General features: G+C 35.3%; 2 protein-coding genes across 4 annotated transcripts in view, besides 3 other annotated features; one reads left to right on the forward strand and one right to left on the reverse strand.

Annotated features, from left to right (window-relative positions):
* Positions 1-19,539, reverse strand: part of MMUT (methylmalonyl-CoA mutase) — a 32,894-nt gene extending 13,355 nt beyond the window's left edge. The window contains exons 1-9 of one of the 2 annotated variants that reach the window (XM_005249143.4): positions 19,454-19,539; positions 15,368-15,791; positions 13,977-14,344; positions 12,366-12,523; positions 9,871-10,042; positions 7,752-8,000; positions 5,102-5,213; positions 3,956-4,071; positions 925-1,040 (exon numbers count right to left, since the gene is read on the reverse strand). In XM_005249143.4, coding sequence (XP_005249200.1) covers positions 925-1,040; positions 3,956-4,071; positions 5,102-5,213; positions 7,752-8,000; positions 9,871-10,042; positions 12,366-12,523; positions 13,977-14,344; positions 15,368-15,752 — 1,676 coding nt within the window. In that variant the 5' untranslated portion in view covers positions 15,753-15,791; positions 19,454-19,539. Of the gene's footprint in view, positions 1-924; positions 1,041-3,955; positions 4,072-5,101; positions 5,214-7,751; positions 8,001-9,870; positions 10,043-12,365; positions 12,524-13,976; positions 14,345-15,367; positions 15,792-19,388 lie in introns of both variants that reach the window. The other variant, NM_000255.4, reaches the window with a different exon arrangement.
* Positions 18,722-19,622: an enhancer, noted in NCBI's record as "H3K27ac hESC enhancer chr6:49430149-49431049 (GRCh37/hg19 assembly coordinates)". NCBI's record gives its function as "activates a minimal SCP1, AML or CMV promoter by ChIP-STARR-seq in primed H9 embryonic stem cells {active_cell/tissue: H9 hESC(primed)}" and the evidence as "EXISTENCE:reporter gene assay evidence [ECO:0000049][PMID:30033119]".
* Positions 19,209-19,278: an enhancer, noted in NCBI's record as "active region_24663". NCBI's record gives its function as "activates an Ori minimal core promoter by ATAC-STARR-seq in GM12878 lymphoblastoid cells {active_cell/tissue: GM12878}" and the evidence as "EXISTENCE:reporter gene assay evidence [ECO:0000049][PMID:35858748]".
* Positions 19,623-20,522: an enhancer, noted in NCBI's record as "H3K27ac hESC enhancer chr6:49431050-49431949 (GRCh37/hg19 assembly coordinates)". NCBI's record gives its function as "activates a minimal SCP1, AML or CMV promoter by ChIP-STARR-seq in primed H9 embryonic stem cells {active_cell/tissue: H9 hESC(primed)}" and the evidence as "EXISTENCE:reporter gene assay evidence [ECO:0000049][PMID:30033119]".
* The window catches only part of CENPQ (centromere protein Q), a 29,738-nt gene continuing 23,236 nt past the window's right edge, over positions 19,656-26,157 (forward strand). For both annotated transcript variants that reach the window (XM_005249205.2, NM_018132.4), the window contains exon 1: positions 19,656-19,739. The gene's annotated coding sequence lies outside the window, so the exon portion shown is untranslated. The remainder of the gene's footprint in view (positions 19,740-26,157) is intronic.

Here is a 26,157-nt window from a genome sequence, read left to right on the forward strand (position 1 = left end):
GAACTATTTTTAATGATTTAATGTCTTCTCACAAAAATCCTATTAGGTAGTAAGTACAAAAAACTTTACCTTGCCAAATATCGTGTCTATGGGAACACTGAAGCAGATATAACATGAGATTAGATTCTGTTTTTCACTCAGCCTTTTTTAAATGCAGGATGACAAAAGTTAGGAGACAAAGGAGCATGTTAAGGGTTACAAAGGCAAAACGTCTCAAGAAGGAAGAGGTGGTCAATAATGTTAAATACTGTAGAGAATTCAAGATAAGGACTAAAAATTATTCACAATATCAGACAAAGAGGAGGTCTCTAGTGAACTTAGTAAGAGCAATTATATTACAGTAGAAAATCAAATGCAGTAGACCAAAATGTCAAAAGGAGATAAAAGACTAGTAACAATTAATAAGTATTCTACTCCTAAAGGAACACATGGCTCCAATAACAAGGGAAGGACTGGGAGGGGGGTGTGGGGAAGTTGGTTGCTCTTCCGGTTGCTTCATGGTTAAAACTAATTCAAAAGCAATGGGATGACAAGTTTTTCCTATAAATTCTCAGATTAATGTTCCCCTCCCCACCCCACAGCCATTTTAACTGGTAAAATACCAAGGTAATAGGCATAAACCTGGTGATATACTTGAGAGTCCAACACATTTCAACCTGCGAATCAGTGAAATGGATTCATTTCAATAGTTTCAAAATTCCTCAGCCACAGTAAAATACACAATTATTAATACAGTTCACTCAAAACATGAATGTTTTAAATACAGAAATTTTAAAATGATAAGAATTAAATTTACGATGGATGCCATTATTTTCTTTTGGGCTCACATGGTTTACAGGATCAACCTTTTATTTAAGTATACTCTGAAAAGCTAAACTGGTCAACTTTTAGTCTTTGGAAACCTCCAAACTTATATATCTTCACCTTGCCCGAGATGCATCCACTGCAAGAGCCAGGATATTTCCATCTCCGCTAGCAGCACATTCGGTTAGTGCAGCAAGACAACGTTCAGCCAAAGCTTGATCCCTGCTGGATTTGATCTATGGAAAAAGTCAAGGAAAGGGACAATTTACATGAAGAGAGAATAAAACAGAGATCAAGAGATTAGACCCTGATGCATAGCATATGGCATTTTTTTCCATAATCCTAACTCCAAATTTAAGAGGAAAAAATTGAAAAGAATAATATATAACCTAGGAATTTTATTCATTCAATTCATTCATTCACTCAGGATTTCCTAAAATAATATTACATTTGGTATAATCCTAACAAATCAGAAACATGAAGGGCAATAATAGTGCTGACCTTCCCAAGTAGCACATGTTACTTAGGCTTTTCTAAAGTACCAAGACATTGTAAACAAGTGGGTCTTTCATATGAAGTATTTTGAAGGAACACTAAAGATTAATAGTGACAAGAAAAAAAATCAAAACTTAGAGAATATTTTAGTTATATTTTAAGTTTCCTTTAGATAAATAACAATGTATTGATAATAATATGCATATTGCTATACTTTTATTTAAAAATAATCTCGAGAGCGAAAGAGGGACTAAGAAAAAGATATACAATGAAAAGCACAGTAAAAAAGTTTTCCCTGGGTCCTAACTCTGCTCTGCCAATAATTTGTCAAAATAAAGTTGCATAAATCCATTTTTTTACAAATTGTACCACCTGTAAAAGAGTCTAAAATATACTGCTCAAGATGCCACTAGTATTATATAGCATATATAAGCAGAGGTACAGAAAATTTATAGTCATCCCTCAGTATCTGTGAGTGATTGGTTTCATGACCCACTGCCCACCCTATCCACAGATAGCAAAATTCAGGGATGTTCAAGGCCCTTATATAAAATGATGTAGTGTTTGCATATAACCTATGTACATTTTCTTGTATACTTTAAATCATCTCTAGATTACTTATAATTCCTAATACAATGTAAATACTATATAAATAGTTGTTATAGTGTATGGTTTAGGAAATAACAAGAAAAAAGTCTGTACATATTCAGTACAGACATATCCATTCTTTTTTTCTCAAATATCTTCAATTCATTATTGGTTAAATCTATAGATGTGGAACCCACAGATATGGAGGTCCAACTATATTTAGAGCAAGAAAAAACTCAACTCCAAATTCTCCATAAAAATGCCCATTTTTCTTTATCTTTTATTGGAGAAAGAAACAATAAACACATACAATTTAAGAGAAAAATAAAGTAAATCGAGTAAATAACGAAGTGATTTGGCACAAGGTAGTAGGGTGCTATTGTAGATATTGGATCACTGTAAGCTTCTTAGATAAGGTGACATTTGAGCAAAGACCTAAGAAGTACACCTTTTCTGGTTTACTAGAAAATTAGTCATCCTTAGATTAGGTAGTTTGCTATAATTATCTCAACAACAGATTACTAAAATTCAGGGAGTGAAAACAGATGCTAAAATTAATTAGGGCTGACGGTTACAGAAAAATAATTTAATATAAAATTACTGTTGAGATAGTTCACATTTTTAAAAAAATTACCACCACAGGTAAAATATTGTTAAAACCATAGGTAAAAGGAAAGCGTAAGAAAATATAAACTTGAGTTCATTACTAAAGAGAGCTCAGAGTATTGCAGCAGAAATATATTTTGCTATAAAAATATCTGATTCTAGCTATGAAAATTAATTTTTGTAATAGAAGAACTTTGATTTGGTCATGGTCCTAAGAAAGTTCAAAACTAGGAAAAAGTTACATCAGAATATCCATTTCTCCTAAACTGGCTCTAGAGTCAAAAAGCCTGCATTCAAATCCCAGCTTTGTCACTTATACTATAAACTTGAGCAACTAAATGAGACTCTCCAATCATTAGTTCCCTCATCTGTAAATGGAAATAAAAATAGTAACTACCTGTTAAATAAAACAATACACAAAAACAACAATTCAAGAAAAGGATTTAGTACAGTATGGGTACACAGTAAGTGCTCAATAAATGTTAACTATTATTGCTATATTGTCATTAATGAATTTCTCTCTGTTGCCCAAAATAAGGCTTATCATTATTTATGATAAATGAAATCCTTCAGGCTATGAAGATATAAAGTTAATAACCTAAAGTATAACAGAAAAGAAAGGGTTTTCCAAAAATAAATACTATTAGATTTTTATAGATTGAACTAAAAAAAAAGCCATACATTAAACAATCTCAGGAAAAGTAAACAAAGAAAACCATTAAATGTATAAGCTCCCTACCTTGGAAACAGCAGTACTTACAAATGCCAAAGATTAAGAGGCCAAAGTAGCTTCATACAACAAAAATATATAGGTTACAACAGTGACAATTAATTTGATTTATCTATTTTAGTATTTCATATGCTCTGGATCAACTCAGTGACAAACTAAAAATAAGAAGGGAATACGATACTCTAGTTTCAATCAAAATAAATAAAGTTTATTGTAAACTGTACCTTACTAAAGCACTACCAAATATAGTTGAATTTTAAAAATCAAAAAGCAAGTAATTATTTCAAAGTAGTATCAGATGCCATCATTCTGGTGAAAGAAATTACAATAAGAAGCCCTGGGTTCAAATAATAACTCTAAACTTTATTCTGTTTTTAATTTTTAGTAAGTTACATAATCATCTAAGCCTTGGTTTTAATCTATAAATTATGGAAGGTATTATTATTGTAGTGTGGTTTTTAATAACAACTTATAAGTTTCACAGAGGTAGATATCATGGTTTAAAACAAGTTTTTGGTGTCAACAGACTAAGACTGAGTCCTGGTTGTCTATTTATCCTGAGCAAGTTTCTCAATGCCTTATCTTTAGTTCCCTTACATTTGAAATGATGGAAATTAATACACACCTCATGCTGTTGTAAGGATTAATTTAAGCAGGACAGTTTAAAAGCTTAGCCAGAGCCCAGAACACAGAAAATACTTAAAAAAAAAAAAAAAAGCAAGCTATTAATACCTTCTTAAGTTTTTCAATCTGCCTGTTTCGCACTGAAGTATTATCAATTGCCAGAACTTCTACAGCGTCTTCTTTTTCCAACTGGTACTTATTTACTCCAACAATTACTTCAGAACCTGGTAATTTCCCAAAGAAAAATTTTATTCACAAATAATTACCTAATTGTAATGCTCTGGTTATGATGTATTTTCCTTATAAATTTAATATCTTTAAGTAGTATTCTTAATTCTTAATGCAACTTCAATATAGATCAGCAAATCCCAATCTGAGAAGGGGGTGTGAGAGGAAAGTAGAGGTATATGTCAGAGTCTCTGTAAGGAAGGACTTTCATTATTCTACCAAACTATTAATATACACTTTCCCACGGTTTCTAATAAATCTTTTAACACTTCGAAATAACAATCAGAGCAGCTGCCATCTAAGATTTATAAGGTAGAGAATGAATACCCAGTAGCTTTTCTAATATTTTTTTGAATTCAGCCAGTCACTTTTAAACAAAAAAAGAACCCTTCTATAATCTATTAGTAAATCAAAATTACAAAGATACTTCCTTACATGATAAAGAATATATTTTACCTCAAACTACCAGATTATTACTCTTATATAAAACTTCCCACAACCCCTACCCCTGGTTATACTCCTTCATATTTCCTTCATAGCACTTATCATGATCTATAATTCTTTATTTACTTGTTCATTTTCCTCTCTTTTACTAGAATGTAAGATTTGTGTGCATAGAGGTCATAGAGGTCATGTCTGTCCTGTTCACAGTTGTATGCCCAGACATAGCAAGTGCCTCAAACAAAATAAACTAAAGAAGTATTCATTGAATGAATGAATACTCCAATGCAGAGAACACTGTGATCATCAACAGTGTCATCTTCAAAATGTTAATGACATCTACCCACAAACATGTACATATATACAATGGTTAGACATCCACACACACTTTGTACATATGCTTGCCTGTGTGCATCCATGTATGTGAAAATACATATATAGATAGATACAAGTATATGAGAAAAAATTTACCCAAGTTCCATTTTTCATTATTTTTGTTTTGTTAACTATACATGTTATCTTCAAACAGAAATGAATTTCTTTTTAACTACTGGATTTCATATATGAACTTTCTCACTATCTTACCAGAATCTATTCTAGCTTGTCTTCGGGCAGCACATTCTTCAATTCGAAGTTTAGGTATTCCCTCAGCTACAGCTTTGGCCATTCCACCCATTTCTTCAATTTCATTAATGAGCTAAAAAGAAAAACATTAACAAAACTAAAAGAGAATATTAAAAATGTGTGTAAACTATATAAATTTGTTATGAGTGTTATATAATTACTAATATTAATAAAATTATAAACTAAATGTTAATGTTTCATAAGAACAGAATTAAATAAACATCAAAGTCATTAATTAGAATTTGTGTGTTTATAGTTACTTGAAAAGACAACTAACAAGTATATTCCAAAAAACACAAAACCTCTTAAGTCTTGGGAGAAAATTAAAGCAACATCAATTCTCTAATCTTTATTTTTAGGTACATAAAGTTTTCATAATTACATAAAGTCTGTAAGAAAAATATATTTTAAAATGCAATTTACTTTTGATTTGAGCTGCAGAGAAACAATGTAACCTCATCTTTAATGAAATCAGGAAACATTTAAACCTTCAATCATAGCTTCATATATGAAGGCAGAAAACAGACAGTGGAATGATATATGACTTAGCAGAAAGGATCAAGGTCAACCTGCTTTTCCCTGATGAATTCAAGAAAGAAGAATCTATATTGGATTCTACGTAAGTGTAAAATGAGAAGCTAAAAAGAAGAAGACAATTTGAGAGTCTGCAACCACCCCTCTCTCATTCTGTCAGGAGAACCAAAGTTTACTGTCTACAGAAAATGAACTCGAGACACAATGAACTATCAAATACCAAATACAGACAGAAGTAAGGGTAAGATGTCTTACTGAAATAAAAGCCTGTACTCTGACTAAAGACTAAAAACAAAAAGCACAGAGAGAAAATGGAGACAATACAGGATGTAAAAGAAAACTTCAGAAAATATCATGAATTCAGAATATAAATGGATTCTGTACTAATGAAACAAATGAAGATGACATTAATTATAAGGGGGAAATTAGAAAACAAAAATGAGCTCTACGAATCAAAAATATAATACATGAATGTAAAAATAAGTAGAAATATAAAGTTGACAAATCTTTAAGAACACAGAAAAAAAAGGCAAACAGATATACTATAGAAAAGATAAGAGCAGGCAGGGAGCAGTGGCTCATGCCTGTAATCCCAGCTCTTTGGGAGGCCAAGGTGAGTGGATCACGAGGTCAGGAGTTTGAGACCAGCCTGACCAACACGGTGAACCCCCGTCTCCATTAAAAATACAAAAATTATCCGGGTGTGGTGGTGTGTGCCTGTAATCCCAGCTACTCGGGAGGCTGAGACAGGAGAATCGCTTGAACTAGGGAGTCAAAAGTTGCAGTAAGCCGAGATCACGCCACTGCACTCCAGCCTGGTGACAGAGTAAGACTCTGTCTTAAAAAAAAAAAAAAAAAAGATAAGAACATCAGCACATCAGGATATTATTTAAGGAGGTCCGTAGCTTATGACTAGGAGTTCTAGAAAGAGAACCCATATGAAAATGACAAGAAAAATACTGTCAAAGAAATAATACAAGAAAATTTCCTAGAGCTATAAAAATATTTTTTAAAAAAAGGTGAGATGAAAAAGACCCAATAAAGGTTCAGTACCATGTAGGAAAAAATACACCAAGTTATACATCAATACAAAAAATAAAGAAGAGGTCCCAATACTTTCAGAAAGAAAGATCCTGAATGAGAATGGCATCAAATTTCTGATCAGAAATATTGAAAGCCAGAATAAAAATCTAGAATAAAAAACAGATCAATGCTTATAAACTTGCTTATGAATTTCCTGAATGGAAATAATGTCAAGCTTAGTCAGGCTATTAATCAATTATAAAAATAGAATAAAGACATTCCCAAACAGGAAAAGTTTCAAATAATTTATCTCCCATGCACCATTTTTAGCAGGTTTCTATGAGATGTACTTCCAAATAACCAAGAGATAGACATGGGATTCAAGATTCAGAATTAAACAGAGGAGAAATGAAAATATATTCCTACTATAATGGCAAAGAGGAGTCAAAGAACAGCAATAGTGAGCAGAAATAGAGAAAAAACAATTTAAGTCAAATGAGAACATTAGAAGAATTCAGAAAAGATTACATTGAGATATAATTATATTGGTAGTAAGGGAGGAGGAAAAGTAGGGGTATGAATCAGCCAAAATCTAAACTACCCTACTAGGAAAGCAATAGATAGTGTCTAAGGTCTCATGTGTAATGTCTACAGTTGATAAAATTACAAGAAATAGTATACATGTGATTTTAAACTATGCAGATAAAAACAAAAATAAGCAAAGAAGTATGTATCTTACTCCAGGAAGCAGGAAAAAACAAGTGGATGATCAAAAACTGCTGTTCTTTGTATGAGCTTTTTAATACTAGCTGTCTTTTTAATTCTTTTAATAAAATACTTTAATAGAAATGTATTTTTAAATGGATTGTTTTGAAAACTATAAAATCAAATCTGAATTTTTTTTGCAAACATCGTTTAAATTATTATATAAATCTGTAAGTGATTTGATTTATAAATTTAAAATCTATAAATCTTGACTTGTAAGTTTTAAAATCTATAAATCTTTACAAATCTGTAAATTCTGAAAACAAAGTTGCAAAGTGGAAAAACTTACCTTTAAAGCAGCATCATAAACATCATTTGTGAGACATTCCATCATGTAAGAACCTCCCCAAGGATCAGCCACTTTGGGAATCCCAGATTCTTCTTGAATGATGATTTGTGTGTTCCTGGCAATTCGAGCACTTTTCACAGTTGGCAAACCCAAAGCTTCATCAAAAGAATTTGTGTGCAAAGACTGAGTCCCTCCAAATACTGCTGCCATTGCTTCTATTGCAGTACGGACAATATTATTGTAGGGATCCTAAAATATTTGATAAAAAACAAAAACTCAAAGAAACAGGTGATAGATATTGCAACTATAAACAGCAACATGATTAAACAGCAACTGCTGCATATTTTCTATGTCAATTTCCATATTAAGCTTCAGAATAGCAAATAAATTCAGACAAATTAGTTTAGAAGCCAAAATTAGAAGAGTCAGAGTTCAGTGTTTAGTGCCTCTTATAATCCTCTGAAATATCAGATATTGTTGTGCTTACTTTTATATTGCCTAAATACTTTTCTATAAGTATATCAACAATGCATTCTTTTTCTACTTAAGATTATATAGTCCTTCATTTCATAATTCACTCTTTGCTGATTATTTTGTCTACCTCACAGTATCTACCACAATGATGTGTACAAAACAGGCACTGAATAAATGTTAATAAAATAGATGAACAATGAACTGAGATATCAGAAATTTGAGTTCTAGTTTATTGCATGCCTAATTGTGATTTGGGCAAGTCATTGGATCTCTCTGAACTTCAGTTTCTTTAGCTGAAAAAATAAGCAGGTTAAAATAAAAATGATTATTAAAGTTCCTTCCAACCCTAAAAATCTCTTATTTCTCCATGTATTTATTTATTTATTTTTATTTTATTTATTTATTTATTTTGAGACGGAGTCTCGCTCTGTTGCCCAGGCTGGAGTGCAGTGGCGCAATCTCGGCTCACTGTAAGCTCTGCCTCCCGGGTTCACTCCAATCTCTTGCCTCAGCCTCCTGAGTAGCTGGGACTATAGGTGCCTGCCAACACACCTGGCTAATTTTTTTGTATTTTTAGTAGAGACGGGGTTTCACCATGTTAGCCAGGATGATCTTGATCTCCTGACCTTGTGATCTGCCCGCCTTGGCCTCCCAAAGTGCTGGGATTTACAGGCGTGAGCCACTGTGCCAGGTCTATTTCTCCATTTATAAGAACCTGAAGTTTTATTTCATACAGAGTATAATAGTTATTATTCAACATTTAAATGTATAAAAGCAATGTAACTTTGCACATATAAATTATTTTTAAATGTACCAAAATAATTTCATATGTAAAGAGAACATGTATAAAAACAAGGCCATAACTATACAATTTTTAAGAGAACAAATTAAATTACCCAAGTAAAAACAGTCTTTAAACAGTCTGCTTGCATGCTTGCTTAAATACATAACTTTAACACATAAAATATGTATGTATATATAATTAATTTTAAATAGGCAGTTTTATGTTAAGAATTATAACTCTTACAATTATATGAGAGTACTAACTTATGACTTTTGCTTCCTTCTCATCATCAAATTCTGTTTTCTTTCTTTCTTTGTTTTTTTTTTTTTTTTTTTTAGACGTAGTTGTGCTCTTGTTGCCCAGGCTGGAGTGCAGTGGCGTCATCTTGGCTCACTGCAACCTCCGATTCCCAGGTTCAAGTGATTCTCCTACGTCAGCTTCCCAAGTAGCTGGGATTATAGGCATGCACCACCACGCCCAACTAATTTTGTATTTTTAGTAGAGGTAGGTTTTTGCCAGGTTGGCCAGGCTGGGTGCCTCGGCCTCCCAAAATGTTGGAATTACTGGTGTGAGCCAACTCGCCCAGCCTTGTTTACTTTTACAAGTGTTTCAGCACTACAGGGAAGCTAGGATGTAAGTGATTTTATATTGTTAACCACCAGAGGGAGACAATTTTTATTTATTTATTTATTATATTATGTATAATTACAAACCTAAGTATACATTATGCTTCAGAATATTTATCATTTCAAATATTAACAGATAGCTTCTTAATTCTATTTCCTGCTTGTGCCACATTGCTCAGAAAAAATATATATATATAACTTTATTAAAATTCTACATTTTAAATTATATACATACCTGCTCAGTAAGTGACCATCCAGATGTCTGACAGTGTGCTCTTAGAAGAAGAGATTTTGAGTTTTTAGGCTGAAACATTTTCTCTATTAAGTGAGCCCAGAGTCTTCTACCAGCTCTCATCTTTGCTATTTCCATATAGAAATTCATTCCAATTCCCCAGAAGAAAGACAACCTAAAATAGTAACGTTAGGTCCAGAATTTAATTAAAGTTAACAATATAGAGCAGAAAATAAAACTAATTGTATCACACACTAGAAAATCAAGGTCTATATTTTAATTTCGAAGAACTTAATTTGAATTAAGATCAGTGCACGTACATTTATGTAACTTTAAACCTAACATAAAATTACAGTTTTATGCATATGGAAGAAATTTTGCTTCAGGTAAGAATTATTCACTTTGTAATTGGTTTTCTTAATGAAAGAATCTCTTCCTATGCCCTTCATTAAATAAAGATTCAATTTATTTAAAAAATGTATATTTTAGGAATACTCAATATGTAAGACAGGAGTCACCTATGAATGAAATAAAACAGCAAATTTGCTTTGTTTAGCCAGAAAAGTGTTTTGTAAAAGAATGATTGTGCATTGGTCTAGGCATATACTTCTCCAATTTGTGCCCTTCACCTCTCCCTTTTATCTTATATTCTGTGCTGATTTAAACATTTAGGTTACTTGCCTGTCTCTAAAGGCACAAAGCTTGCAAATCTACTTCTGACACATTTTTGGAAGTTCTTTTTTTGAGACAGAGTCTTGTTCTATTGCACAGGCTGGAGTGCAATGAAGCAATGTCGGGTCACTGCAACCTCCACTTCCCAGGTTCAAGCGATTCTTGTGCCTCACCCTCCCAAGTAGCTGGAATTACAGACAAGCACCACCATGCCCAGCTAATTTTTGTATTTTTAATAGAGACTGGGTTTCGCCATGTTGGCCAGACTGGTCTTGAATTCCTGGCCTCATGTGATCTGTCCGCCTCGGTCACCCGAAGCACTGGGATTACAGGCATGAGCCACCACACCCAGCCTTGAAAGAAGTTCTTAACACAGCAGTTTTCAAATATTTTGATCTCAGGTTCCCTTTCTACTCTTAAAACTTACTGAAAATTCCAAAGAATTTATTTCTTTATTTGTATAATATCTATCAATATTTTATTTACTAGTTCATTCAAAAGTAACAATAAGGAAGGGCACAGAGGCTACTGCCTAGAATCTCAGCACTTTAGGAGGCCAAGGCAGGAGGATAGCTTGAGCCCAGGAGTTTGATACCAGCTAGGCAACACAGGGAAACCCCATCTCTACAGGAAAACTTAAAACTTAGCCAGGTATGGTGGCACACACCTGTAGTCACAGCTACTTGGGAGCCTGAGGTGGGAGGAACCCTTAAGCCTGGCAGGCTGAGGCTGCAATGAGCAGTGATCATGCCATTGCACTCCAGCATGTGCAACAGAGCAAGATCCTATCTCAATAATCATCAAATCAAATCAAAATAAACCCACAACATGTTAACATTAGTAACATTTCTTATGAAAAATAAGTATGCTTCTTAAAAAAATATATATATATATAATAAAAGCATCATTGTTTTACATTTTTGCAAATCTCTTCAATGTATGGCTTAAGAGAAAACAGCTGGAGTCTCATATCTGTTTCTGCAATCTGTTGCAGTATCACATATCGTGTAGCTTCTGAAAAACATCACTATAAATTCTTGAGAAAATGAAAGTGAAAAAGGCAAATAAAGCTCTAACATAAGCATAAAAACAGTTTTGATCTCAAATACCCCAGAAAGAGTCTTAGCAATGCCCAACTGTTCTTAGACCACACTTTGGGAACTGCTGTCACAGTAAGTACACAAATCCCTGGTACAAAGGAGCATTTCAGTAGTCTATAAACACTAAAGGCAGAAGCTATGTTTTCTACATGTTGTATTGTCAGCATATAGGCTAGTGTTTGGCACAGCAAAGCTTAGCAAGTGATTGCTGTACTGATTGAACCACCGAATGACTTTCGACTTCCAAATTTAAATATTTCATAAACTACATTTAAGTTTTCCCATATTTTTCATACAACATTATTAAGAAACTGTTGTGAAACAAATGTTTCAACAGCACAGTGGATCCCAAAACATTACATTAGATAGTGCAACAGAAAAAAAAATAATAATAGATGAATTCTGTATTCTAAAATGGAAAAATTAGAAAAAACTGTCTCAACATTATGTTTACATTTTAATGTAATTTGTTAAAATGTGGAACTTAATTGTGTTCTCTAAATAGCTGGAGACAAGATATTCCTCAAATTTACAAAGAAGTACAGCCAAATTTAATTCTATTTTTTATTAGAAATATTGGCTTTTTCTCTCATTATCACTCAGATAAAATATAAGAAAATCTAAATCTAGCCTGACATTTATATTTATAAATTCATTTTATCAATATATAAAATGGTCCTATGCATTTCTTAATGTTGAAACAATATCTAGGTTTAATTTACTCACCTTGGTGCAAATTCATCAATTGTCAGGCCAGCCTGGAGTCCAGTTCTAGAGTACTCCAATCCATCTGCTAAAGTATAGGCCAGCTCCAGAATGGCATCAGCCCCTGCTTCCTGCATATGGTATCCACTAATTGAAATTGAATTAAATTTTGGCATGTGCTACATAAAAAAAAAAATTGTAACAGTGAATAAGTAAAAATATTAAAAGGTCCTATTAAATCCACTTTCTAAGCATAAACATTATTTTAAAATGATGTTAAATTCAAATAAACTTGGTAGTTCATAATGTTAACAAAATATTTAATGCTTATTTGTTACATTTAATTTGCTTTCCAATTTAAATGGTTCGTCCATGAACCATCATCAGGACTGTACCTACTTTATTTTTCTGGTGGACAAGAATTTATACTAACCATTCTGAAAGTTTAAATTGTGGAATTAGCTAGCTGAGGTTAGGAATGTAACCTTTGGCCTGAGAACTAAATGAAGCATTTTTAATTCCAAACCAATGACTTGGACCTCATAAGAGGTTGTAGACCCAAACCTTGGGTTAATCTGCTTAAGATGTATAAATTTATTATTATTTACTAGTTATTAATTTTCTAGTTTGAATGAAGGCATCAAACATGAATAAGTACACAGTAGGAAAAAAAATAAAATGATTTGATTCTTAGTACTATATGTTGAAACAAAATGGGATAAAATGCATGGCTTTAAAAATCAAAGATTTCAGTTTGATTTACTGTGACATTTAATACTAAGCATATCCCAGACAGGTTCTTTCCACCACAATCACTACAAAAACTGTATTTCCACTATTCCCCTAAAATTTCATGTTAGGTAGAGTACATCACACATATCCTGCACAGCCAAGAAAAACTATCTTTACCAAGAGTTAACCAAACATAAAATGCTTGCTACACAATGCTTGCTAGAGTTTGGAGATAACAGTAATTACAAGGGTTGATAAAGATAAAAAGGGTTGATGACGATTTTCTCTGTGCCATGAAATAATGATCTAACTTTAACGTAGGTAAGGAGAAGGAGTACGTTGCTGGTAAGAAGCAAAGAGTGAATAATGGGGGGAAATATAAACAAATTGCTCACAGGAAAATGAAGGAGGAAAATGTGTCCCTATGGAAGGATTTTTCCCATCATTCTTATTGGGAAAGATGAGCCTAATTCAAGGGTGAATATTAGGGACCTCCTTGAGGTTGCAGATATGAGTGATAAGTGATATCTTCCAATTCAGCTTTTAGCAGAAATAAAGCTGATATTCCAATCCCCATTTGTCTGATACCAGTGTCTACTTCACAACTGCATCTGAATTTCGGAGGGAAATTTAAAAATGTAAGTAGAAGACCTCCCTGAATCTAACAATTATCAGAGTTAAATTTTAGGAATAAAGAAAACACAGTAAAGATCTGTTGCCCAGATTCCTGCAAGTAACGACAGAACATAAAATTAGTACATTAAAAACAAAAAGTAACAATAACAAAACATTCTAAATTTATATTACTCAGACTAAATTTTTAAATTCAGTTATAGCATGTTGTAAAAATTCCTACATTCAAGGAACTATAGAAAAACCTATAATAACCACAAAGTATACCTTTGCTGTATATTCAAATATGTCAGCAATAATTTTCATGGATGGTTCTGGAGGAAAAATGTATGTATTTCGAACCATAAATTCCTTTAGTATATCATTTTGGATGGTACCAGTAAGCTTCTCTTTAGGTACACCTTGTTCTTCTCCAGTTACTATAAAATTTGCAAGAACTGGAATAACTGCTCCATTCATAGTCATGGAAACTGACATTTTTTCTAAAGGAATTCCATCAAAAAGAATTTTGGTATCTTCCACAGTGTCAATAGCAACTCCAGCCATTCCAACATCACCACGAACTCGAGGGTTGTCTGAATCATAGCCACGATGTGTCGCCAGATCAAAGGCAACTGATAATCCCTGCTGACCAGCTAAATATATAAAGAAAAATAATGTAAGATTCAAGAGTCTGGAATCAAGGTAAAATGATTTACTTTTAACACTACTAAAAATGTTGATTCATCTCATAACAGTACACTTTTATAACAACTATTTTTATGCTCATACATGTCAAAACCAACTTAAATAAAGATACTTCACTTCTTAAGAGAGTCAGTTGTTTCCCTTGTGCCAAAATGCACAAATTTAGTTCCAGACCTCACTAAAGGAAAGAATGGGAGAAACAACAAATCTCAATCATCTCGTATCTATCTGAAGATATGGTACTTGATTGAAATATTTCTAAAATTCATGAAAAGATCTGGCTGTTCATATATGGCAAAAATAACTTAGCATTTGTATGCTTGCTTACTATTTTGTTCTTTTATCTAATATGGTCACAAAGGATTCCTGGCTATTCAAATATTCTGGAAAACAGAATTATGACCATCGTACAAAATTTTTAAATAACTAAAATAGTCTATACTAAATGTAAGTTCAACCTTCCATGGGCAATACAAACTTATAAATCTACAAGTTTAGTATTCAAACAGTACAATTTTATTACAGCTCAGAAAGAAGAAATAATAGTTAAGATAATTTTCAGTGAATGAATGCCAGGTTGCACTGAATATGTTTGTACCACGTTATCACATTTACACTTTCTTTGGGCATCATCTAAACTATCTTCCTCTCCAATCGCTATCCCAACAATGTTAATTGAACATTTTTCGAAGGCAAAGCTAATGTCTTCTTTTCTTCATGCAACTTTACCTCACCTAATTCCTTTTAAACAACGTGCATGTGTTGTTTTCTTTCAAAAATTTAGCACCTTATTCTAATTCACTTATCTTTTTGACCACAGAAGTTAAAAAAATCCACTTTTTTCAGAGTATAGTCTTTAACTACAAAATTATAGAGTGAATATCATCTTTACAGAGATTAACCCCCAAAAAATAAAAAACTAGGAGGCATATGACTTATCATAAATATTATGTCTTACATTAAAATCTCACCCTTAATGTTGTCCTTATAGAACTTATTGCTTTCTTCCACAGTACTAAAACCAGCATACTGGCGGATGGTCCAGGGCCTAAAGGTATACATGGTAGGATATGGTCCACGTGTGAATGGCTTCACTCCTGGAAGTTCTTCAGGTAAGTCCATAGTATCTCTCTTGGAATACAAGGGTTTTATAGAGATCCCTTCCGGGGTGTGCCATATTAGGTCTTCTGGGTTTTTGCCTTTCAGCTGCTTTTTAGCCAGGGCAGCCCATTCTGGGTGAAGGGGCTGTTGCTGGTGTAGAAGTCGTTGCTGTATGAGCCTGGAGCCTGATGATTCTTTTACCTGCCTCAGGTAATGAGGTGAAAGTAAAAAAAGCTGATTCTTAGCTCTTAACATGGTGGAGCATGGAAACACCCAATAGAAATAAGAACTGACCTAGAAAAAGAAACATAGAGTAAAAACATTTAGAAGAGGGGGTGGGAAATAGGAGCTACTCATAAGAAAGGAACAGAAAAGAAAGAGGATGTATTAGTCTGATTTCATTTCTTCCCCTTTTCTGCTTCCTGCACCTGATATTTTATAACTTTGGCCCCTCTTCTTCACAATTACTATCAGTCCTGTAGTTTCAGTCTTTTTCCTCAGTAGCCTCTTAGCTGGTCTTACTGACCAGTCTTACTCCTTTTCTACTCCATTCTATACGAATCCCTTCCATACAATGACATCAATGTAAATATGACTATGTCACACTCCTCATGGAATTTTTCAAAGACTCTGTATCATGTGGAAGATATACTACAGCCTCCTAATTAATTTTTTCATTCAAAGTGCTTTTATTAAATATCAGTTTATGACCGACATTATGTTGGGTAATAGAGAAAAAAGTGATGAATAAGACAAACAGGCATTCAAGGCCTTCATGAACTGGTCTCTGTTTCCCCCTCAGACCCATCTCTGTCTTTGTCCTCTTTATGCATTTTGTGCACTAGAAATACTGGATTACCTACAGTTGGCTGCACATATGTCAAAGTTTTCTGAATTTGCTCTTGCTCTTCCTTCTGCCTAAAATGTTCTTCTCTGGCTAATTCAGCTAAGGCATTATCTCCAATTTGCAGCGTTTCTATGTGCCAGTAACATAGAAGGCTATAAAGACATCACAGAGAGTAGCAATTTTAATCTTTACAATACCCCTAAGAGGTAGGTACTATTATTATCCTTATTTTACAGATTAGGAAACTGAGGCACAGAAGAGCCAGCATTGATTGGAACCTATGCAGCCTGTTTCAAAGTCCTTGCATTTAACTAATATGCACACAATTCATCCCAGAACCCATAAGGTGAGCTAAATGGCCTCTTCAATAATCTACTTCTGTGCTAGTTTATAAACTGCTCCAACATTAGAGCTGCATATTCCGGATAACTAGCATAGACTTTTATACTAGGTTGCTGGGTTCAGCGTCATCATTTTCCAGATGTAGAAACTGAGGCTCAGAGAAATAAAGTCGCTTGATCAAAATCCCACCTCACAAAGCCGTAAACTGTTTACCTGAATTACTAAAACTTGTCAGAGTCATACAGCGTAAACATATAGAGCCCATTGTTTAAAAAGATATTGAGATGCAAACATTAATATATTCACTATACTATGTGTTTTATACTGGATAAGGCAACAAGTAAAGGGAGTTTCAAATTTTATTTTCCATACCACTTCTTACCTATCAGTTTAGTAAAGCTTAAATGAAATCAATACTCAACACTTATTATGGGGTCGTTAAACAAGAGACATAAACCACTGGTGACAGTATTAACTATTTTAACTACTTTGGAAAGTAAATTGTCAATATACATGAAATGCTTCAGAAATGTTTATGCCATTCCACTGAGGAACATTACTCCTGGGAAAGCTTCTGTAGTAATATATAAAATAGATGTTTCCTATAGTTTTATTTGTAATAGAGAAAACTTAGGAAAATCGTAAGTATCTCATAACATATGAATAAGTGAATTACAGCATATACAAATGATAGAATTTCATGTAGTTATCAAAATATGTTTAGAAAGCTGGCAAAACTAATCTTTGATGTCAGAAGTCAGAAGAATGGTTACTTAATGGTTGCTAGAATACAACAGGAGCAAGAGAGGGGCTTTTGGGGGTAATGGTCTTGATCTGATTGCCACTTACATAGATATATTCTGTTTGTGGAAATTCATCAAATTATACAGTTATGTTTTATGCAGTTTCTGTAAATATATGTATAAGTAAAAAGTTAAAAATGTGTTATGCATAGTTTCCCAAAAAAAGAGAAACAAACTCAAAAAGTAGTAAGTAAAAGACTCAAGACACGTAATTGTAAGTGCAACAGGTTCAACTATGTAAAAAGTACATAGAACAAAGTCTAAATGGAAACATAACAAAAAAGGCTGGGCATGGTGGTTCACGCCTGGAATCCCAGCACTTCAGGAGGCCGAGGCAGGTGGATCACCTGAGGTCAGGGGTTCAAGACCAGCCTGGCCAACACGGTGAAACCCAGTCTCTACTAAAAATACAAAAATTAGCTGGGCATGGTGGCGCACACCAGTAATCCCAGGTACTCAGGAGGCTGAGGCATGAGAATCACTTCAACCCGGGAAGCAGAGGTTGCAGTGAGCAGAGATCGTGCCACTGCACTCCAACCTGGGCAACAGAGAGAGACCCCGTCTCAAAACAAAACAAAAAAACCTTCCATTTTTTTAATACTAGCACGATTTTTATTCTTTAAATCCATGGGGTCCTTGTCATCCATCTTTTTGCAAGCCATCCACTACATTTACTAGCTTAAAAGGTGGATGAAAAAAATAATGAAGCAACAACTAAACTGTTTCAATAGTAATCCTGTAAAAGGTAATTTGAAAACCACCTGAGACTAAACTGTTGGCAGGAAATATCACACTCATTTCACGTGGGCTTTCCTAAATCTGAACAACTAATAGGAAAGAGCCCCGTTTAAGTGACTTCCTGAAAATCACATGTGAATTGGTGGAGGCTGGAAACAGACACCATTTTTAGATAAAAACACAACTACTGCGGATGGCAATACGACCTCTGAATTTTCTCAGAAGACCATCAAGAGAGGCCTCAAGCATTCAAAGAAGCAACATGCAAAGCAAATATGTTACTGACAACTAAAATGAGTTAAAGAGCAATGATTAATCCCACCCCCACACCTCAAAAACAAATCAGTGAGAAAAAGATTTCTTGAACCAATAAGTTTCAAGCTTTGGCTGCTGACGTATGATTGCACATTAATACTTCAAGAAGGTACTTTGATGTTCAACTAGTTGGGTTTGGAGATGGAAACATAGGGCATGAAAATTATATTTGATATTAGCATAAGTACATCATTAAACACAAAATTATATTGGCAGAAAATCATCAAGTGGTTTAAAACTTTACACACATACGTTATCCAGGGCTTCGAGCTTCCCTAAGACCACCTTCTTTCTAGATAAAACTGAGAACGAGTTAGTAATGTAAGCTTTTATGTCAATTTAGACCTGTCTTTTCTATTCTACCTCTCACTCTTAACACTGTTTACACTCTTAATCCTGTTTACACACAGAAAATCACTTTTATTCCCGAAAACTCTTAGAAAAACCCTGACAATAACATAACCCACAACCTAGAAGGGAGGCAGCCATGAAGCAGGCGCATCCCTTTGGAACCATACAAAAAGTGACCTCTGCCAACGGGAACAGTTCAGGGTGCTTAAGTGGCCAAAGAAGATACCGACATGGCCCCTAAAGTATTAAAAGCACCTTCTTTCCAGAAGTACCTCCGAATTGCCAGGGACTTCGCCCAAAACTAGAGGTTGGTCGAAGTGAAAATCTAAACCTAAGGAGAAGGCAGAGAGTGGGATCCCGTCACAGTAGGAAGGTAAAGAAGACAGAAGTAAAGGACAGAGCGGGAGAGAAAGGACAAAAGTTCAAAATACAGGGGTAGAGGAGGGACAGGAGCCAGAAGAATGGAGCGATCTGAAAGGTGTACGTCCTACTCACTGGTAGGCCTGTTTTGGACTCCGCTGTGGGAGAGGGCGGCTGCACTTCTGCGTCCCCCGCCTCACCTGTCAGACATCCACACAGCCAGGCCTCCCCGCCCTCACCAAGCCCACACAAACCGCGCCACCGCCAGCGTCAGCCGGACGACTCTGGGGGCGTAGGCCGACACCGCCCTCCCTCCAGCCAATCTAATAGCGCTCTCATGGGCGCATTCCTGATGACGTTTAGGGGTAGGGTTAGATGCCCGTTTCCGCTTTCTTCCCACCCACTTCCGGGTCTCCTCTGTTTACGAATGTTTGGGCGCGAATTACTCTAAGCGCGGCTCTCAGAAGGGTGCAAGAAGAATCAGTGGTGAGTCGTGATATCCTTAACCGGCTGGGTGGATCTAAAGTTCAGGGATGAGTTTTAAAGCCAACGCGTTTGTGGCAGACTCCGCAGTTTGCATTTGAGGATAGCGAGGGGGGATTGCTTACGGGGAAATGCCCGATGTCCTAAAAGATCTGCCCTTAGGATCCTGAGATTGAGATGTTTGATTAGGGGGGAGGGAGCAAAGCCATGAATACTTCCTATTTCTCCCGAATCATCCTCATGGCTCATCCTCATTGCTAAATTTCTCCCGCGGGCACTAGTGAAGTCAAGTGCAGCCTTGGACATTAGTGTCTGTGTTTCTCCAGGAGTCCTACTCACTCTTGTGCCCACATAGAGGTCTAAATTGAGGTAATTGAGTCCCATGAGTATCAACAAGCTGGTAAGAAAAACAAGACAACCTAGAATGCCTCCCTCTCTCCTAAAGCATATAGTCTGGCGGCAAACTACTGTACCAGCCTTATTTCTTTTCACTTCTCCTATACACATTAAAAGCCTCGCTGGATTATCCTGTCCCTGAACACGCCAGGTTTTTTGTGTTTTTTCCGAGCTTTCCTGCCGTCCGAGTTTTACTGTTTTCCCTTGGATGCTTCATTTTTCTACTTTTTGGCTAAATATTTCAAAATGTTATTAGAATAATACTTTTTCTATGAATAATGTACAAACATACTTCCGAGATATTGCGGGGTCGGTTCCAGACCAATAAAGCCTGTCACACGATTTTTTTGGTTTCCCAGTGCATATAACAGTTGTATTTACACTGTATTGTAACCTATTAAGTGTGCAATAGCATTATGTGTAAAAAAAAATTACATGCTGTAATTTTAAAATATTTTATTGCTAAAAAATGCTACTAATCATCTCAGCCTTCAGCAAGTCCTAATCTTTTTGCTGGTGGAGGGTCTTGCTTGATGTTGATGGCTGTTGACCAATCAGGGTGATGGTTGCTGAAGATTGGAGTTGCTGTGGCAGTTTCTTAAAATAACAAAATAATGAATTTTGTACAGCAGTTGACTCTTCCATTCACTAAAGATTTCTCTGTAGCATGTGATGCTGTTTGAAAGCATTTTACCCACTGTAGAACTTCTTTCAAAATTAGAGTAAATCCTCTTAACCCCTACCATTGCTTTAGCAACTAAGGTTTTGTGATATTCTGAATTCTTTGTTGATATTTCAAGAATATTCACAGCATCTTCACCAGGGGTAGATTCCATCTCAAGAACTTCGCTCATTCATAAGAAGCAACTTCTTTTCCACTAGTTTTATCATGAGATTGCAGCAATTCAGGTACATCTTCAGGCTCCACTATTTCTCTTGCTATTGCCACCAGATCTTTCATCACTTCCTCCACTGAAGTCTTGAACAAAGTCATGACCTTTACAAAGTCATCCATGAGGGTTGGAATCAACTTTTTCCAGACTCCTGTTAATGTTGATATTTTGACCTCCTCCCGTGAATCATGAATGTTCTTACTAGCATTTGGGATGGTGAATCATTTCCAGAAGTTTTCAATTTATTTTGCCCAGATCCATCAGAGGAATCACTGTCTAGGGCAGCTATAGCTTTACAAAATGTATTTCTTAAATAATATAACTTGAAAGTCAAAATTATTCTTTGATTCATGGGCTGCAGAATGGATGTTGTGTTAGCAGACATGAAAACAGCATTAATCTCCTTGTACATCTCTATCAGAGCTCTTGGGTGACCAAGTACGTGGTCATTGAGCAGTATTATTTTGAAAGGAATCTTTTTGTGAGCTGTAGGTCTCAAAGATGGGCTTAAAATACTCAGTAAACCGTGCTGTAAACAGATGTGCTGTCACTCATGCTTTGTTCTTCCATTTCCAGAGCACAGACAGAGTAGATTTAAAAGAATAAGAGCCCTAGGATATTTCAGAATGGTCAATGAGCATTGGCTTCAAGTCACCACCCATATTAGCCCCTACAAGAGAGTCAGCCTGTCTTTTGAAGCTTTGAAGCCAGGCAATGACTTCTTTCTAGATATGAAAGTCCTAGATAGCATCTTCCAATAGAAGGCTGTTTTGTCTTCATTGAAAATCTGTTGTTTAGTGTAGCCCCTTCATCAATTATCTTACCTAGAACTGGATAACTTGCTGCAGCTTCTGCATCAGCACTTGCTGCTTCACTTTGTACTTTCATGTTATGCAGATAGCTTACTTCCTTAAACCTCAGGAACCAAGCTCTGCTAGCTTCAGGCTCTTTTGCTACAGCTTTCTCACCTCTCTCAGCTTTCATAGAATTGAAGTGAGTTAAGACCTTGCCATGAATTCGTCTTTGGTTTAAGGGCGTGTTGTGGCTAGTTTGATCTTCAATCCCGGACCACTCAAACTTTCTCCCTATCAGTAATAAGGCTGTTTTTGCTTTCTTATCATTCATGTCTTCACTGGAATAGCACTTTAAATTTCCTTCAAGAACTTTTCCTTTGCATTCACAGCTTGGCTAACTGGTGTAGTTTCCAGCCTATCTTGGCTTTTGACATGCCTACCTCACCTTGCTTAAACATTTCTAGCTTTTAATTTAAAGTGAGAGAGGTGTGATTTTTGCTTTCACTTGAACACTTAGAGGCCATTGTAGGGTTATTAAATGGCCTAATTTCAATATCATTGTGTCTCAGGGAATAGGGAGGCCTAAGGAGAGGGAGAGAGGCAGGGAACAGCCAGTTGGTGGAGCAGTCAAAACACAACGCAACATTTACCTATTAAGTTCTCTGTCTGATATTGGCATGGTTCATGGTGCCCTAAAACAATTACAGAGTAACATCAATCACCATAACAGATATAATAATGAAAAGGTTTGAAATATTGTGAGAGTTATCAAAATATGACACAGAAATGTGAAGAGTGAGCACAATCTGTTGGAAAAATGGCATCAATATAGTTGTTCAGTGCAGGCTTGCCACAAACCTTTAGTTTGTAAGACAACAACAACAAAATACAGTGTCTGCGAGGCTCAATAAAGTGAAACACAATAAAAAGAGTTATGCCTGTACATTCTTACCCATAGCACAAACCAGTTTAAGACAGTCATTCGCTCACTTGCCTCTTTATAACATTTATAAATACACATAGTAATTATTTTCATATCTGTCTCTACCTGTGCACTATCACTAAGCTGTGGTTTCCCTTGGATCTAAGAATGGGACAAAATACCTATTCATTTTTATATGCACTGTGAGTAGCCCAGAAGTGATAGAAACAATGTCTTTTGTTTATTGGATTCTTACTATGTCTCAAATACCGTTCTAGGTGGTTTATATATTCTTTGTTACATCATTTTTGCTTTACAAAAGCCTTTAATGTTAGTACTTTTATTAATCGTTTTACTAATGGGGAAAATGAGTTAATTTACTGGCCCAAAGATATACAGTTAATTAAGTGGCAGGGCTAGATTTGGAGCTTGAACAATTTACCCTCGTTGCAGGACTGCTCTTAACCATTATGGTAGTGTTCTCAACCTGGGTTGATTTTGACCCAGGAGACATTTGGCAATGTCTGGAAACAATTTTGATTGGCTCTACTCAGGGGTTGGAAGTATTCTAGCATCTGACGGTCTACGTAGACCCAAGCATGCTGCTAAACATCCTACAATACACACCACAGTCTCCACAACAAAGAATGATCCATCTAAAATGTTAATAGTGCTGAGGTTGAGAAACTTTGTGCTATAGTCTAGTGCCTCAAGTAGGTTTCATTGTTAACAGTACTTCTCAAACTCTGTTAGACCAGTTTTGCTTTTTATTTCTAATCAGTCATAACTGATACTTTTGTAAAATGCAATTAAAAATCAATTATTAGTCAAACTCCCTTGTGGTATAATACCAGGAGTGAACTCTGATGTAAACAATGGATTTTGGGTAATATGATGTGTCAACAATTACAGCAAATGTACCAGTTTGGTGTGTGATGTTAATACTAGAGGTTGCAGGGAATGGGGAAGGGCAGGGATTATATAAGAAGTTTCTGTATGTTTTGCTCAATTTTCTGTAAACCTAAAACTGTTCTGAAAAAAGTCTTTTTTAAAAAAATACTAATTACTAGAAAATGATATGGCAAAGACAAGGCTAATTATTTTATGATAAGGTTCAATGTGCATAAAATTACTCTATCAAATTGCTACAAAAGTTTCTAAATGATTACCTTCAATTTCCACACTTGATTATGGCAAACAGTTTGAATGAGATTTGGAGTAGCGCTAAATTACATGTTATTTTAATAAAGAATATCAAGAAGAAAATGATTAATGGACCCAAGCTATAAATAAGTACCAAATGAGACAGAGCAAAAGAGCCACAGACTTAGAGAGAAATGAAGTAGAATAGTTAGGAAGATTTTGAAAAGAAGGTGGCTCATGATCTGAGAGGGTGGGCAGAGACAGAAGAGAGCTGCTCAGGTAGAAGGTACAGTGTATGTTTGGGAGGCAGAATTACTCAAAGTGTGTTCAGGAAATCATCAAATCTAGCTAGAGAGGGAGATTTGATTAAGGAGTAGTAGGAGAGAAGTATGAAAAGGTAGGCAGAGTTAGGTTGGTAAGGACTAAAAATGGCATGGTAAAGAGTTTGAATGTTACACAGAACGTATTGGGGTAAATTTTTTACTCAATTAATTTGTTCCAAAATTTGGGATTGGGAGGGACTAGGCAGGGCTTGCTCATGTCTTGTCCACACAGTGTGGGCTGCAGCATATTGACTTAGGTACATGTACCAGACTGGCCAGTTGGTGCTGGCTCTTGGCTGGGAGCTCAGCTAAGACTTTCCTGGGGTTTCAGTTCCTCTCGGTGTTGGCCTTCCTCCTATGGTGGTGGCTGGGTTATAAGAGCAAGTGTTGGCCGGGCTCAGTGGCTCACGCCTGTAATCTCAGCGCTTTGGGAGACCGAGGCAGGAGGATCACTTGAGGTCAGGAGTTCGAGACCGGCCTGAACAACATGGTGAAACCCCGTCTCTACTAAAAATACAGAAAATTAGCTGGGCGTGGTGGGGGGTGCCTGTAGTCCCAGCTACTTGGAAGGCTGAGGCAGGAGAATCGCTTAAACCTGGGAGGCAGAGGTTGCAGCAGTGAGCCGAGATCGCACCACTGCACTCCAGCCCAAGCGACAGTGCAAGACTTCTTAAAAAAAAAGCAAGTGTTTCTAAGCAAGAAGAAGTCAAAGTTGCCAGTCTCTTCATGTCTAAGCCAGTAAGCTAGAACAGAATCACTTCTACTATATTCTACTGCTCAAACAGCTTCAGAGTCTGCCAAGATTTAAGACAAGGGAACATAGACCTTACTGCTCATTAACAATCATGAGAAGGAATGTGTACCATTTTTAATCTAAAATCTCAGCTGTTACTTGTCCCTTCACCTGGATGCTCTTATTCAGTGAACAACTTGAACTATTGTACATGTCAGCCCTTCCAGGAGAGATCTACAAGTGAAATTCTGTCATGTGGATGGGTTTTTAAGTAGGGGAAGTATAAGGGTGTAGATGTAAAGTTGAGGTAATTAGGCATTTTAGAAATTGAACACAAGATAGAGAATGAGTGTTTGGTAAGGTATCACATTGTTCAAGAGCAGGGTAAAGTGATATTTTGACTTCCACTGCTTTTTGTAACTGGTGTGATATGTGGTTGCTAAATGTAGTTTGTGATCTTTCTGTTAATTCTTTCCCAATTTTTTTTCCAGTCTTGTGTGGAGGGGAGTTTGAAGCTTTTAACGTTTGAGAGGATAGATTTATCATTGTCTTTCTCTAAATCTGCACATATATTTAAACTGTATCAGTATAATAATTCTGAATGTTTAGAAAATAAATGATGAATAATTTATCTGTATATCTAGCTATGGCTAATATGTGTATATGTTTATATGTGTATATATATATTTTCTAGGCATATATAGCTAATATGTGCATATACATATTTCCTTGTATACTGCACCTAACTTCTATCCACTTCTTATGGTGTAATGCAAGAATAAGTATTTCATTCTTCTGTTCCTTTTATCAGAAATTAGTTTGGTAATAAAAGAGGGAAAATTACTCTAAATTTTATCAACATCCCCATTTCCAATCCCATGTCTGTTTTGTAATTTGTGGGAGGGCAGGGTATTCAGTACATTTCTGTACTCTTGTTAAAATGCACATAGCCCAGATAGGATTGCAGTTTAAATTCTTAATAGTGTCAGACTAACACATGAATTTCCACATAGATTGATGGTATAATCCTAAAAAGTGTCTCCTTCCATTTTTGGCAAAAATTGGGTAATGGTAAATTTATTACTTAAAATAACAAGACCTAGGCTTTACTCCTTGAACTGACATTATCTGTGACTACTTTATATTTCTATTTCCTTGGACTTAAACATGGAGAGGATGTTATCATACGATAGAGTATAAAATAAGAGATACAAAAG

This window comes from Homo sapiens, chromosome 6 (assembly GCF_000001405.40).
Source record: "Homo sapiens chromosome 6, GRCh38.p14 Primary Assembly".
NCBI lineage: Eukaryota > Metazoa > Chordata > Mammalia > Primates > Hominidae > Homo > Homo sapiens.